This window comes from Homo sapiens, chromosome 3, assembly GCF_000001405.40.
Source record: "Homo sapiens chromosome 3, GRCh38.p14 Primary Assembly".
NCBI lineage: Eukaryota > Metazoa > Chordata > Mammalia > Primates > Hominidae > Homo > Homo sapiens.
In genome coordinates this window covers 6,190,202-6,207,399 of record NC_000003.12, presented here as the reverse complement: position 1 = coordinate 6,207,399, position 17,198 = coordinate 6,190,202, and the positions used below count along the sequence as shown (strand labels likewise).

The following is a 17,198-nucleotide window of genomic DNA, read 5'->3' as shown; positions in this document are numbered from 1 at the left end:
CAAAGTAAAAGTATCACCAATTTGGACCCGTGACCTTCCTAAAGAGACCATCTAAGACTTCAATGACGAGATAACATTTGGGCTGGACCTCAAAAATGAAGAATTTTATCAACTGGAGAAGCATGGTGAAGATGGTCTGGGGGAAGGCAAGGGAATGAATAAAGCCTAAGTTGGGGGGATTCAGAAGATGCCAGCTTAGTTGATGTATAAGACCCAGGAAAATGTGTAGTGGCAATAAGACTGAGAAAGGGACTTGGGATCATGTCATGGAGAGCTTCAAACCTGAAGCAAGACAGTTTGCATTCTTTGTGTCTATCCCTACACCCTAAATCTTCCCAGGGGAACCCTTTTATAGTAGGCAAAAGATCTATTTCTAGAAATCAATCTGAAAGTCCAAAGATGTATGAGCATTACAGGAAAGTAAAGTAAAAAGGGGGTGTCTTCCATCTATTCAAATTCTGAGCCAACTATCACAACGACAAAAAACCAAATACAGCAGGTTCTCACTCATAGGTGGGAATTGAAGAATGAGAACACGTGGACACAGGAAGGGGAACATCACACACCGTGGCCTGTCATGGGGTGGGGGGGAAGGGGAAGGGATAGCATTAGGAGATATACCTAATGTAAATGACGAGTTAGTGGGTGCAGCACACCAACATGGCACATGTATACACATGTAACAAACCTGCATGTTGTGCACATGTACCCTAGAACTTAAAGTATAAAAAAAAAAACAAAAAACCCAAAGTCTGGGAATGTTCCACTGACAGCCAAATATGTGAGCTCTGCAACGCAAGTCCTTGTCTGGCCAGATTGTGACTGCATACCAATTTCATTTTTAGCATGCTCACCTCTCTCCCCAGTAGACCCTCTGTGCTGAAACTCATGCCTTCCATATGTTCAGCAGATATATTAATAGGGCAATGATACTTTAAGCAGAGGCTACTGCTAGTACTTGTTCTTATCTGTGTGATCATGAGTAACTCTCAGAATAAAGTGGAATAGCATTGTTCCAGGACTCATTCAAGCATATAATACAGTTCCAGTAAATTACAGCAGGCTCCTACTGAGAGTACCATTTGGTTAGTTATTTTCTTGAAAGGGTTGGACCATTCTTTTTACGCACTTTGGTAGACAGGCTTCTGCAACCTGGGATGTATGGAGTTAGATTTATGTTTTCCTTGAGGTATCAGCAGGGTGCATCAGTACCTGCATCCATTAGCATTGTCTAAGGGGTGATTCAAGGGAGAATTGAAGAACCGCCCTCTTTACCTGCTGAGAAGCATAAAATTCTTTCTTAGAGAATCAATGGAACCATGACTTAGTAAGTAGGAGTTATCCATCTATTCCATCTGCCTTTGCATTAAGGCTTTACCTCATCTTCAAAATCCCCTGTTAAATAGAAAATCCTGGCATGGTAACATGTAATTAATAAAATCTCTTCTTCATGGGGCTTAGCTTATTATAATAGTTTGCAGGGTTTGCTTTTCTTCCTTAACTCAGTTGAGGAATGATGTTACTCCCATTAATGCCAGTAGCTCACTAATTATATCATCATGAGAATGAAATAAGAGGGGGAAGAAAAAAAGGTGGAGAATATTGATAATTATATCTAATACATTGATTGCTTATCATGTGCTAGATTTTATTTCTAATTAATTTTAAATATTGTCATCTGAGCATCTCAATAACTTCACTGGTTAGGAACTATTATTATTACCATTTTAATTAGCATTGATGATTAAAGATCTTAAATTTGTTTTTGTTTTTGTTTTTTTTGAGACAGAGTCGCATTCTGTCACCAGGCTGGAGTGCAGTGGCGCAATTTCAGCGCACTGCAACCGCCGCCTCCCGGGTTCAAGCGATTCTCCTGTCTCAGCCTCTGGAGTAGCTGGGACTACAGGCATGCATCACCACACCCAGCTAATTTTTGTATTTTTAGTAGAGACGGGGTTTCACCATGTTGGCCGGGATGGTCTCCAGCTCTTGACCTCATGATCCACCCGCCTCGGCCTCCCAAAGTGCTGGGATTACAGGCGTGAGCCACCATGCACAGCCAATTGTTTTCTTAAATTACACATTAGGATGATGGATATGTTAATTAGTTTAATGCAGTGATTCACAATGTACATGCATGTCAAATCATCATATGGTACATCTTAAATATATATCATTTTTGCCAATTATACATCAGTTAAGTTAAAAAAAGTTAAATAAAACAAACAGGTTTTTAATAAATGACACAATAGGGCGTGGCAAAATCAGAATGCACCTCTCTATCTGATTTTGCTGTGTTATTCTGCCTCCTACTGGGGGAAAAAGCATTCCATCATAAAGCTGCTCAGGATGATTGATACATCAAAGTGAAATTTTTGAGAATTGATACTTATGAGAATATTTCACTGAATGGGGACACAAAGAGGAATGCAACCATCCTCAGAAGTGGCCTAGGGCAGGAAGAAGAACTAGAACTCTAGGACACATCACTGTCCACTCCCCAGATGGCTGAAGATCAGCAGCTATTTCATTCCTTCTGTGTGTTTGGCACGCATTTCTTTAATTTTATCTTGAAGAAGTGAGACATGTTAAGGAAAACTAGTATAGACAAAAGAAAGCAAAGAGAACACTAGTCCACACCGAAAAGACATCTTCAGTTTAACTTTTTAAATCAGGTTCCCTTTCTGGGGCATACTTTTTTTCTGAGATCTAATGATTGATTTCAGAGGAATGAAGCTTTTCATGGATCATGTGTTATGGAGAAGACAGTGAAATTGAGGGAGCACTCCTCACACTTATAAATAAGAAATGTAGTCATCAAGACTACAAAACCTATCATCTCAGGCTGATTATCTCAAAACAAAAATTATCCCTGAAGTTCTACAAGTACTTATTGACCACGGTAAGGAGAGGTAATGAACTTTAGAAAAATGGATGTACTTCCTAAGAATAAAGAAAATAGTCATTTATCCATTTAACTGGCCAAGGTAATTTGTTTGGCTGTTTTGCTCTTCAGAGTGTGTTCATATATTTTGTGGTAATGATTTCACATTATTCAGTAAACAAAATTAAACTAACTAGTTTTCAACGGCAAAAATAAACATAGCATTTGAAGAACTACCCCTTTTGTCACTATTATCATCATCAGGTAAAAATTTCTGGGCTATGTGCTATTACCCATTTTTAAAGGAAAACATCTGACAATTCCTTCAGATTTTTTCCATAATTAAATATTTTTCTTCTTATCAAATAGCTTGTTTGCCATGTTTCTTCAGATTTTTTCCATAATTAAGTATTTTTTCTTATTATCAAATATTGTTTGTTTGCCAAGGTCAGAAACACAACTCACACTTGTTTCAAGAAAAGACAGAAAGAGGAGAAAAGGAGAGAGAGAGAGAACAAAGATAAATTATTTGCTAATGTAATTAAACAAACAATATGATTGATAGTTTACTGGATTCAGATAAAACTGTATCCAGGCATTCGAACCAGTCCTCCACTCTGTCTGTCTCTTCTGCCTTTTCAGTAATCCCTCTCACCATTCTCCTACCTTTTTTCCCCTCTCTGTCCTGCTTAGCTTTCATTGACTTGATTTACTAACACGCCCTCAACACATACTACAAAACATGTCTCCTACAAACTCCAAGATTATATAGTTCTTACAGCTTAAATCTGGGAAAGATACAGACTTTCTCAATTCTGAAAAAAAAAATGGATGCTGATTAGTCTTGCTTGAGAAGGAGCTCACGCATTGTTCACTGAAAGTCTTTGAAGGTCTATTCTTGCTCATGTGTTCTCTTTTGACATGTAGAATCTTGAGAGAAAACACTTCCAAAATCACCCAGGAGAAACAGATGCAAAACGCAATGTTTCAGGGCAGAAGAAGACAATACCAGTCATCTTTTAATCTACTTTAAATAAGAGAGGCAGTCTCTTCTAATTCATCTATTTCTACTTGGGTCTGTTTGGTGCATGTAAAGATGTATCCATGCTTACTTTTAATCAATAGCTCCATTCTCTTTATTACTAATTATGAAATATCCAGGTATTATAATATACGCAATTTGGATTAACACAATTCACTTTGAAGAGGCTCATATTCTCTCGGAGAAGACAGATATCATAATTGTGGCAAATTCAGTGGTCTTAGGACCACCAATACCATATGAGTTTGGGGGGAATAAAAAATACCACCATGTTCAATGTACACAGTAATTCTAAAATGCATACCAATAAATTAAGATGCATACTTTCTCATGGTCCAATACAGTGAGTAGAAAATATTACTGTCAGTAATAGGAAATAAAAGAAACTTGTAGGAATACTATAGGAGTATATTATAGCTAGCAAATAATTATTCTAGCATAATCCAGAAAAGCTGCACAGTGGAATGACATTTGACATGCTTGGATAATTTTGGAAAATAAGAGAAATCATGTCATGGGTGTTCAGAAAGCTTGATGCAGGTATACAGTTGGTCCTCTGTATCCATGGGTTCTGCATCAATGGATTCAACCTACCACGTATCAAAATATTTTTAAAAAGTGTGTCTGTACTGAAGAAGTACATACTTTTTTGTCATTATTTTCCATATGATACAGTATAACAGCTATTTACGTAGCATTTAAACAGTATGTATTATGTATCATAAGTAGTCTTGGGATGATTTAAAGTATATGAGAGGATGTGCATAGTTTATGTGCAAATACTACGACATTTTATATCAGGGACTTGAGCATCTGTGGATTTTGGTATCCAAGGGAGGTTCTGGAACCAATCCCCATGAATATCAAGGCATGACTATACTTCACTTTAAAAAGAACAAAATTCATACACAAAAATTTTTAATATCATTTAGCCCTGGTATGTCTTAAAAGCAAAGACTATGTTATCAGGAAACTCTAATCAGGAGGAAATGAAAGACAAGAGTGTTTCTTCAATCATGAAAATGAACAGCAAATGAAGTTAGATTTCCACATTTCTAAATTTGCCTCAATGTCCTCATCCACAGGAGACCATTTCTTTTCAATGAAAAGGCTCCCTCCAAATGAAATTGAGCAATAAGCAGGATTTCTATTGAATTTTGTGATCTAGGCATTTTTAACTTCTGTGTTAAAAAGATAAGTGACTTCCTTGGTATGGATTCCATATTTTAATGGATACAGTTTTTGTGAGGAAAAAACTCACTTGTTTATATAAACACTGTATTTTGGAACTTGTTTTAAGTGAGATGAATGGAAAGACATTTTACATCTTTAGTGTACACACAGAAATGCAAATCTGTAAGTCTAGTAGTAGATTTCAGAAAAGTTGACTAAAGAGGAGAAATAGTTTTGGATGAAAAGCTCTGTGTGTTTTTTTGGAGCTAATATCAAAGATAAGTTCGTTAAATACATAAGCAATGTAATGAAAACAAGAAGTTTGACAAGACTGAAATACATTGGATATTTTTTAAGAAAACAGAACTGACAGCCATCCACTCACCATAATAGAAGTGTGTTTACTAAACACAATGACAGAGGCAACTCCATCTCAGAAATAAATGCAGTGCATTATGCTCTTTAACAGTGTCTTCCAACTACGTGATATTTTATGTGTGAAAATTATACAGGGAACAATTGCACGTCTGCTTCTGTGTTCTTATAAATAATGAAGGGGAACTATTTCTTAATGATGTAGACTCTCACAAATGTGCTCAGGTCAAACCAATTGTGACCCAATTTTTCAAAATTTCAAGGCCACCCTTCAGCTCCAGTTGTGACATAAAATATTTATGGGATTGATGAAGGAACTGAGGATCTTTCAATTAGAAATACTCTGCCCTACTGTTGTGAAGCACAGAGCATGGAAGCAAATCCTATCATAGCTTTGCAGTTGTCTGGTGAGAGGGGGTCAATCAGAAAGAAACAACTTTATTCATTGGTAAAACTGATCAGAAAACAAAAATAAAACTTAATTGTGGATCAAGTCACATGAAATCAGGTGCAAGCAAAACTCATAAGCAGCATTCAGTTTTATCCAATCAAATCATAGTTCAGAAAGAAAATGGAGCTCTAAAATTCATAGTACTGTATGGGTTCCTTGAAGCATTGAAGCACTCTGAAAACATGCCTCAGTAGAATTTTGTAACATCAAGACAGAATGTTGAGCCTCCTATCTTCCTTCTCTGTTTAACCAAAGCAACTCTGCTTTTTTGTGTGTGACGTACAAGGCTCCCATGAGGTTTTCACTGGAGGAAGGGTTCCATGGCTTTAAAAACTTTGAAGTCAACTGGCCAATATCTCACAAAGTATAGAATAGTGAAGGACTTGCTAGAAGTCACAAATCAATCATTGATAGAGATGAAACTCATGTCTCCTGACCACAAAACGTGTGTGTGTGTGTGTCTGTGTGTGTGTGTGTGCTTGCTTGTTCATTATTTTTCCTCACTCTGGCCAATATTTTGTAAACTTGACTTAAATTAGAATCACTTGAAGACTTCTTATAAATTCCTATACCCAGGGTACAAAACGGTCCCATCATTCAAAACTTCTGGGAACAAGACCAAGACCCCGCATGTTTTTTGTTTTTTGTTTTCGTTTTTGAGGAACAAGGAATTAAGCCCCAACAGGAGAAATAGCAGAGTTGTTGTGTTTTTTGTAACATCTTTATTTATTTATTTATTTTAAGTTCTTGGGTACATGTGCAGGATGTACAGGTTTGTTTTACAGGTAAACGGGTTTGCTGCACCTAGCAGGCCATCACCTAGACATTAGGCCCAGCATGCATTAGTTTTACTGATGCTCTCCCTTTACCCTTTGCTGTCCCCCAACAGACCCCAGTGTGTGTTGTTCCCCTCCCTGTGTCCATGTGTTCTCATCATTCAGCTCCCACTTATAAGTGAGAAGATATGGTGTCTGGGTTTTTGTTTTTGTTGTTTTTTTTTTTAGATGGAGTCTCACTCTGTTGCTTAGGCTGGAGTACAGTGGCACGATCTCAGCTCACTGCAATTTCCACCTCCTGGGTTCAAGCGATTCTCCTGCCTCAGCCTCCCGAGTAGCTGGGATCACAGGTGCCCACCACTATGCCCGGCTGATTTTTTGTATATTTAGTAGAGATTGGGTTTCACTATGTTGGCCAGGCTGATCTTGAACTCCTGACCTCATAATCCACCTGCCTCGGCCTCCCAAAGTGCTGGGATTACAGGCATAAGCCACCGCGCCCGGCCTGATGTTTGGTTTTCTATTCCTGAGGATAATGACTTCCAGCTGCATCCATGTCCCTGCAAAGGACATGATCTCGTTCCTTTTTATGGCTACGTAGCATTCCGTGATGTATATGTACCACATTTTCTTTATCCTGTCTATCATTGATGGGCATTTGGGTTGATTCCATAAGACCCCTATTTTTCAAAGCATCCCAGGTGATCCCAATGTGTAAAGTGAAGAACCAGCACCCTCAGCAAAAATTTTGATTCTATGTTTCTCAATAAACAAGTCCTAAGCTGCCAAAACTTAAGCACTGAGTGATGTCTTAAGGTCTCAGTTTTCCCTTTAAAGCATGATGAAACTGGATTAGATCCGTGTTTTTTAGCTCTGCCCTTGGAAACTCTTATGATTTCTGAAAACACATTCTGAAGGGAATGAAAACAGTAGGACAGACAAGAATAGATAAAATTCGGGAACTTTAGCCCACCACCCACCTTTATCTTTTCCCAAAAACATTCCTAAACTGAGATTTTGTTTGAAGAAAAAAAAATGGCTTTTTTTTTTTAAGGTTTTAACATTACAGGGCTAGACTCCTTAAGTTTCTTCTAAATTTAATACCCAGAGATGGTAGAATTCTGTGAAGAACTAATCAATTAGCGGCTTCAAGGTCAGACTTCTTTACTTTTCTTTTCTTTTCTTTCTTTTTTTGGAGACCAAAAAAAAGAAACAAGTCTTGCTCTGTTGCCCAGGCTGGAGTGCAGTGGCATAGTTATGGCCCACTGCAACCTTAACCACCTGGATTCAAGCAATCCTCCTGCCTCAGCCTCCAGAGTAGCTGGGACCACAGGCACACGTGCCAGCATGCCTGGCTATTTTTTAAAAAAATTTTTGTGGAGATGAGGTCTCCCTATGTTGCTCAGGCTGTTTTCAAACTCCTGGCCTCAAACAATTCTCAGCCTCCCAAAAAGCTGGGATTACAAGCATAAACCACTGTGCCTGGCTGAGGTCAGAATTCTTGAACTAGTGTTTACAGATCTCTCACGCTTACTAGCGTGTTCTCGTCACATACTGGGGAGAAAGGGGTAGACCTAGAGAAGCATTAATGTTAATTACCCCTGGTTACCTAGTACTTAATCCAATCCTTCCTTCTAGATACCTGATAGCTTCTAGGGACACCAACTATGCAAGTTTACTCAGGACTGTCTAATTTAAGCACTGAGAGTCTCAAGTTCCAGGTAATCAATCGCTCAGTCCTGGAATAGTGGAAACAGCCATTGGATGACTAGCAGAGAGCTAGGGGCAGCTGTACTCCATTTATGAATTCGTCCCACAGACTTCTGTGTCTACCCAATTCATGGAATGCAGGGGCCTGGATAGATGAGTTGTTATAACCAAGAAATCAGCCATCTCCTTTCTTCTGAAGGTCTTTGGAGGGCGTCAACAGTAGCTATATAGAGAGAAGAAAGCTATAATAATCCATTATGTTTGGGTAGCACTTAGGTAATAAAGGCAATTTCCAGAAATAATATCTCACTGAACTGGGCTTTGTATATTTTACATTAGAAAAGAACTTTCATTATATCAATTTCTATAACTTCCTCAAGTCGGCACAATATGAGCCTTCAGACATGTATGCATTGCTTCCAGTGAGTATATACTAAAAATCCTATTTTCTTCCCTTCTTGTTTTTCTCTCAGGCTTCTAGTCTATCTTTCTTTCCTATTTTATTATTATTATTTTAGTTTTGGAATGTGTTTCTACACTTGAATTGTTCTGCTGTGTCAGGAAGTCTTTATGCCTAATGTTGTGATACTTTCTCCTGCCTTCCTCAGCATAGCAACAGTAATTCCTGTCATTTGAGGGCTTATTATGAACCAGGTACCGTGTTAAGCAGCTTTGATTACATTATCTTATTTGATGTTCACAATAATCCTAGGGGATTAATATTTATATTTTTCTTTTGCTGATAAGCAAATAATGGCTTTGCAAAATTAAGGATCTGGCTAAAGTTTACATGGAAAAAAAAGCAAAAGTAGGATTTGAATTCCTGTAATCCAAATCATCACACTAATTTGCCTCCCCAAACATATTCATGTTGCCATGTGCTCCTACTTCTTCCTATACTATTTATCAGTTGCCTCAAAACATGCATCGCTCCTCACAACCACTTTATGCTGAATTGGGCAGGTATTATTATTCCCATATAACAGATAGGGTGACAGAGACACAGACTTTCCTAAGATGAAAAGACCAGAGCCAAGAATCTTAACTCACTTAACTCTTTAAGATGTTTCTAAAAATCAAAATTCTGTTGCCTCTGGGAGGTTTAGGAATGAGTTTTAGGAGTTTATGAATTCTCCTAGACTTTATTTTAATATTTCCTGTCTTTAGTTCAATAATAACAAGAGACAACCATATAAAGAATTCTTTATCATTGTGGTCTAATAAAAATTTCTGTGAATGTAAAAATATTCCATATAGAAATACTACCTATATGCATTGTTTCAATATGGTAGTCACTAGCCATATGTGGTTCTCAAACATTTTAATATGGTAATGCAACTGAGGAACAAAAATTTTTAATTGCACTTAAATTCAGTGTCAATAGTCACATGTGTCTAATGGCTACCATGTTGAACAGCACAATATCTAAATCAGAGGTCCACAAACTACAGCCCATAGGTCAAATTTGGCCTGCTGACTGTTTTGTCAATAAAGTTTAAGAGGAACACAGGCACACATTTTTATACCTTATCTATGGCTGCTTTTGTGCTACCATGGCACAGTTTAGTAGTTATGATGGAAGCCATGTAACCCTCAAAACCTAAAATATTCACTATATGGCTCTTAACAGAGAAAGGTTGTCGACCCCTGGTCTAGATGGCCACTTCCGGTATGCCTAGCTTTGCATTTGTGTTTACAATAGTCTTGTGCCGTTGTAATTTGAAAAAGAAAAAAATGTGATAGGAAAAATGAGTAAATCACAATAGCACAGGCATACTGAATGCTTAATAACCTGCCCCATAGATGTCAGTTCTATATTCAAATAGCAATAGAGATAATGAGTTGGTCTCAACTTTGTAACCGTTTACTATAGAACATTAATAGAAAATATGATGGTACTAAGTACACAATTAAAATTTTTTCTGTCCCTAATTTATTCACTAACTAGATTGGATATTAATGTAATTTGGATTTTTTTTTTTTTTTTTTTTTGAGACAGAGTCTCACCCTGTCGCCCAGGCTGGAGTGCAGTGGCGCGATCTCAGCTCACTGCAAGCTCCGCTTCCTGGGTTCATGCCATTCTCCCGCCTCAGCCTCCTGAGTAGCTGGGACTACAGGCGCCTGCCACCGCGCCCGGCTAATTTTTTGTATTTTTAGTAGAGACCGCGCCCGGCTAATTTGGATTTTAATAGTACTGTAACACTACCATTACCTTCAATTAAACAAGACCTTTGGGTGTACATACATATGTATGTATGTATGTATGTTAAAAGCAGCACTTGAGCACTGATCAATAACAGAATTTGGGTTAAAGATGAATTTGAATACCCTAAATTTAGCTAATGTTATTCATGTTTTATATAACACCTTATAAAGATAAGCATTAGTTTTGTCCAAGAAAAAAACAACACAGAAATAAGTTAAGTACCAAAATAGACCTAAATTTCTATATTCCTCTTATTAACCTTGAAATTTTGTTTCAGTCAAACAAGATTATCTATCACATTTAATTAGTAGTGGTTATTTGAAATTTATCTGATTTATTTATTTATTGCATTTATTTTGTACATGTATTTCACATCTGCAAGGAAAGGAAAAGAAAAAAGAAGACTGGGAAAAATAGATGTGAGTGGAAAGTGATACAAGACATTGACAGTGAATTCAAGGGACCCTCAGAGTTTGAGAATTTTCTGATTTGGGTGCATCACAGAGACCTCTCTCCTGAACTCTTCTTTCCACCCTTTCCTGTAGTTATAATGACTTTAGAATGAATATGGAATCACAAGCTTTATAATAAAATATTTCTTATAAAATTTAAAAACTTCTGTCTGTAAAATATTTGGAGATGTTCAGATGAAAGAGACAGTGCAAGAACAAAGTATCATTATGGTTAATAAAATTGCATAAATAGCTGCAGTGACCCACAAAAGAAGCCAGGTTTAGAGTTTCACACCAAAGCAAAAAGCACCAGACATTGAGCCCTTTCTACAACCTCCATTTTGCTGAAAAGATTAAAAAACGCTTCAGACTTTTGCTGTAGTCATAATCTGCTCACTCGATAAAAAGCAGAGATGGAAATATCCCCAACCTACTGCCACAATCTATTAAAATCGCAACAAGAGGTGATGATTTTTCAACTAACTGATTTTATATTATTGGTATAAGTAAGATATAAGCAACATTGTCACAAGATAGTCAGCACAAAAGGTTTTAGAATATGAATAGGAAAAAAGAATCTAAGCCCATCTGCTAATTTAGGATGACATCTGATCACCAGTCATCAGAACATTATTCTACATTTCATACTATGACATTTTATAATAGGTTTAACCCTTTTTTCATAATACCTAAAGTGAGTAAGAAATAAGATCTAAGAAGATAGTTTAGTTATAACTCTGTTAACAAATGTCTAATGTTCTAGAGGCTAAGAGAGAGAGAAAACAGAAGAAGGGAATTATGGACCTATTTCTTGAGCTCATAGTTAATCACTAACCCTCATTTTTAGGCTCACCAAATAAATCTCCGCCCAATTCCCACAAAGAATGTAAGAAAAAATATCACAAATTATTTGACTCATACATAATATTAGACACCATTTGATCCTGCAGCATCAAGCTTTTAAGAGCCGATAGAAACAGTAAGTATCTTGGAAGTATGTCCATTACTAAATTTTGCTGAAAAATGTCTTTCCTACACTAATAAGGAAGTACATCTCCTAAAGTTATGTACATACTAAGTGTTTCACTTCAGAGATGCTTCCTTTATACTATACTAAATAAGAGATTGAGAATGGTTACTCAATTGCATATATTAAGCCTGATTGATGTTAATCCTTTTTATACTTAATAAATCTCCAAATCATTGCTATTTAAGACTTCATCATATAAGGAATAGGAAATGTTTTCAACTCTCAAAAATGCTCAAGGGAAAAAAAATCTACACTCACATAGAAAAAAAAAAAACATGCATACTCATATTGAAATAGGAATGGAATGTTAATGCATTAAATCTACAAATAAAATATATCCCAAATTATTGATGTTTCAGTAAGAAAGTAAAACTCCATTAACCTTTTAAAGGGAGGTCACACTGCACCTATATTCAACTTGGAAAAAAATTATCCCAATTATTGACTGCCTAAAACTGAGGTGATGGAATTATTCCTGAGCTCCATGGTTTCAAGGCTATTTGGTTTGATTGGCATGGGTATGTGGGGAGCTTCCCTGAGGTGCATACATTAAGCTCTCTTGCACTGAAATAGAGTAACCATTGATAAGGATGCTAAGAATTCCATAGTTTTAAATGCAGACATTTATAGTTCTTAACTGAGAAAAAGGAAGCTGAAGAGAAGGGCTCGTTTGCTAAAAATCAGTTCATGCCTACCATGTGACAGTTACTCTCTCAGGTATATAGTTCTGAGTAAAATCACATGCAGTTTCTGTCATGAATAAGTAGAGAGGAGAAATAAATATAAATCAAGTAACTGGCATATTGTGACATACACACACAGAAGATAAAATGACCACAAATACTATCAAAGCAAGTTATATTTTGCCAATAATACATAATATGCGCAATTCAGCCTAGTCAGAGAGGTTAAAGTTAATGCTTCAAGGAAGAACATTCCAAGCAGGGTAATGTAAAAGTTGAAGAAGGAAGAAACACGAAAAGCAGCTCAACAGTCAAAGACAGGTTTATTTTGGAGGAAAAACTCGAGAGGGGCTTTTGGCCAAGTTAGGTCAGGAGCACTCTCTCTTACAGACTAAGAGTATTTAAGGGTTCAGGGTGGGAGAGCTTATCATAGGCTCAGAATGTTTGTCTCCTTGTCTTGCTTATCTGGGAGGAAGAGTTTTGTATCTGTTGCCATACATCTTCCTGCAGCTGCAGGTATACCCAGAGAGTCTACCTTATCTTCCCTACCTTAGTGCACTTAAAGGGGAAGGAATGTGCTTACTAGGGACACTGTTTTATTGGGGCCCATTGTATGAGTGTGAAGTTTGGTGGTTACCCAAGAGACTTTCCCACCTCCCTCTGTGCCGGAGCTCTCTTAGCTATGTTTTACTGTCTGCTCTTTCTGACTGCTTGTTGTTTGAATAGAAGTGATTTCCTTTAAATTTATGAGGTTAGAAAGGGAGCTGGAACTTAAAATGGTGGTGGTTGTCCAAGATGAAGGTGCTCCTGCTCTGTCAGGGAGAGTGGTATATCCAAAGGTACTGGGACAAGAGAAACAATGGCATATTCAAATGGCTGGAGGAAGTCCAGTGTTGTTAGAGAGGATAGACTAAAAAGACTCATGAAAAGCAAGTGTCTGACTTTAGGTTTCTAGTTAAACATGTAAACAGCTCATAAGTCATCTCTCCTGTCCTTGAACAAACTGGCAAATCACACTTCTTCTAAGATCCATGGAAAGTTGAGATCACAAGACAAACTATCAATTCAAAAATAGGAAAGACAAGAAAATAAGGATAAAATTTACCAGAAGCAAAAACTATAGCTCTCTTCTGGCAGGAACACACAAAGCTTAATTGACTTATTGCTAAACAATAGGTATGGACTAATTGATAGAGAAAATCTCATGGGGGGTCATCCTTAGGGGAACCTCCACACTTTTTTGTGAGTATTACTTCTAAAAGTCCCACATTTTCATGAGTTTTACCTCTAAAAGCCCTCACCAGCTTCTCAGGATGATGACTGCACAAAAATCCCCTCTTGTTTTTGGCAGGAGGAGGGGAAAATTTACCATTTGAAATACATCCAGAGCATTATATTCTCAATTAGCAAAGGCTTGTGTCATAGAAAAAAATACTACTAGAGCCAACAACCATGAGCTAGAGCCTAACTGACACAGAAAAATGGAAATGCCTAACTCCAGGACCTTTGGACATTCCTATTACACTTAAGCAGGGAAGGGGAGGAAGAGATGTGAGAAGCACCTTGAAGAGGTACAGCCCACTAAAAAACCAATGCCTGATTACAGGAATATGGAGTGGCTTTCCTCCCCACACTGCACTACCCCATTAACAAGGCTTCTGGATAATAACAGGATTACAGCTGAAGAAAAGCAGAAACTCAGGCTCCAGTTCAGAGAAAGTCTCTAGGAAAACATAAAGGTAACAGGGGAGGCAAAAGCAAGGACACAGAGGAAATTTTAGATTCTAACATCTACAGGTATAATAACAATACACCTGTCTAACTACTAAATGTAGTCTAACTAGTGGCCAGATAAAAGTAAACCTCACTCAGTAGCCCTTTTCCCCAATACATCATGTCTGACATTCAAAAGTCTTGCAAGGCATGCTAACAGGCAAATAACACAGTCTGAAGAAATGGAGCAAACACCATAACCGGATTCAGATATAGTACAGACTGTGGAAATAATCAGACTTGGAATTAAAATAACTATAATTAATATGCTGAAGGTTCTAATGGGAAAAGTGGACAGCCTGTAAGAACACTTGGGTAAGCATATTGGTAGAAACTTTTAAGAAAAAAAATCAAAAGCAATGCTACAGAAATGAAGAATGCCTTTAATTTTGATCCATAGATTGAACACAGCCAAGGAAAAGATTCAGTGAGTTTGAGTTTATGTCAATGGAAACTTAGCAAACTAAAAATAAATTAAAGAGAAAAATAGAGCTTAATATTCAAGAACTGCGAGATGATTACAAAAGGTGTAACATATGCACAATGAGAATACTAGAAGGGGAAGAAAAAAATAGAGGAAATATTTGAAGAAATAATGCCCGAGAATTTTCCAAAATTAATAGAAGCAAGCGAAGTATAGATCCTCAGATAACACCAATCAAGATAAATACCAAAACACACCAAAAAAAAAAAAAATCTATACCTAGACATGTCATATTCAAACTACCAACATTCAAAGACAAAGAGAAAAGTTTTAAAGAAGCAAGTTATAAAAATGTTGCCTATAGAGGAACAAGGACAAGAATTACATTGGACTATTCTTTAGAAACCGTGACATCAAAAGTGAGTGGAGTAACATATTTGCAGTATGGAAAGAAAAGAAAAACCAAACCACCATGGCACATGTTTACCCATGTAACAAACCTGCATGTTCTGCACATGTATCCCGGAACATAAAGTAAAATAAAATTAAAAAAAAAAAGAAAAGAACAACACCTACTGCAACAAAACACCAAATGATAATTCTGCATACAGTCAAATGATCCTTCACAAATAAAATTGAAGTACTTTTTCAGACAAACAAAATTGAGGAAATTGTTACCAGTGGACTTACCTTTTAAGAACTGATAAAAGAAGTTCTGCAGAAATAAGGAAAATGATGTGTCAGAAATATGAGTCTACAAACAGGAGGAGCATTAGGGAAGGAATTTTTGATTTATTTATTTATTTATTTTATTTTATTTTTGAGACGGAATTTCGCCTTCATGCCCAGGCTGGAGGAGTGCAATCTCAGCTGACTGCAACCTCCATCTCCTGGGTTCAAGTGATTCTCCCGTCTCAGCCTCCCAGGTAGCTGGGATTACAGGTGCATGCCACCACGCCTGGCTAATTTTTGTATTTTTAGTAGAGATTGGGTTTCATCATATTGGTCTGGCTGGTCTTGAACTCCTGACCTCAAATTATCTGCCCGCCTCAGCCACCCAATGTGCTGGGATACAGGCATGAGCTACCATGCCCAGCTATTTTTTTTTATTCTTAATTGATCTAAAAGATGACAGTTTGTTCAAAGTAATAACAGCAACAACATACAGGGTAATGATTGATAGCTTATGTAAGTAAAGTGAATGACAGCAATATTTAAGGTATAGGAGGGAGGAACTGGAAACTGTCCTTTAGAGGCACATGCAGTACACATGAAAAACTATAGTATTCCATTGGTCTATGTGTCTGTTTGTGTACCATGCTGTTTTGGTTACTGCTGCCTTATAGTATAGTTTGAAGTCCAATAATGTGATGTCTCTGGCTTTGTTCTTTTTGCTTAGGATTGCTTTGGCTATTTGGGATCTTTTTTGGTTCCATACTGATTTTAGAGTAGTTTTTTTTTCCAGTTCCATGATGTTGGTAGTTTGATAGGAATAGTGTTGAATCTGTAAATTGCTGTGGGCAATATAGCCATTTTAATGAGATTGATTATTCCAATCCATGAGCATGGGATGTTTTTCCACTTATTTGTGTCGTCTCTGATTTCTTTTAGCAGTGTCTTGTAGTTCTCCTCGTAGAGATTTTTCACCTCAGTGGTTAATTGTATTCCTAGGTATTTTATTCTTTTTGTAGCAATTGTAACTGGAATTGCATATTTTTTCTTTTTATTTGATACATCGTTGCTGGTTTGAATGGAATTGCACTCTTTATTTGGTTCTCAGCTTGAATGTTTTTGGTGTATAGAAATGCTACTGAATTTTGTATATTCATTTTATATCCTGAAAATTTACTGAAGTCATTTATCAGTTCTAGGAGGACAGATAACCCAGAAATGAAACAGCACCGCTACAACCACCTGATCTTTGAAAAACTTGACAAAAATAAGAAATGGGGAATAGAATCAATAAATGGTGATGGGATAGCTGGCTAGCCATATTGTAGAAGTTTGAAACTGGACCCTTACCTATTGCCATATATAAATTTAAATGTAAGACCACAAACTGTAAAAATATCAGAAGGAAAACTAGGAAACACTCTTCTCCAAATCCGCGTTGGCAAAGAATTTATGGGTAACTCCTCAAAAGTAATTGCAACAAAAACAAAAATTGATAGGTGGGAACTAATTAAACTAAAGAGCTTCTGCACAGCAAGAGAAACTAT

At 36.9% G+C, this 17,198-nt stretch overlaps 1 long non-coding RNA gene across 1 annotated transcript in view; it reads right to left on the bottom strand.

Annotated features, from left to right (window-relative positions):
* The window catches only part of LOC105376942 (uncharacterized), a 150,192-nt gene that overhangs the window by 9,756 nt on the left and 123,238 nt on the right, over nt 1-17,198 (bottom strand). The window lies entirely within an intron of this gene.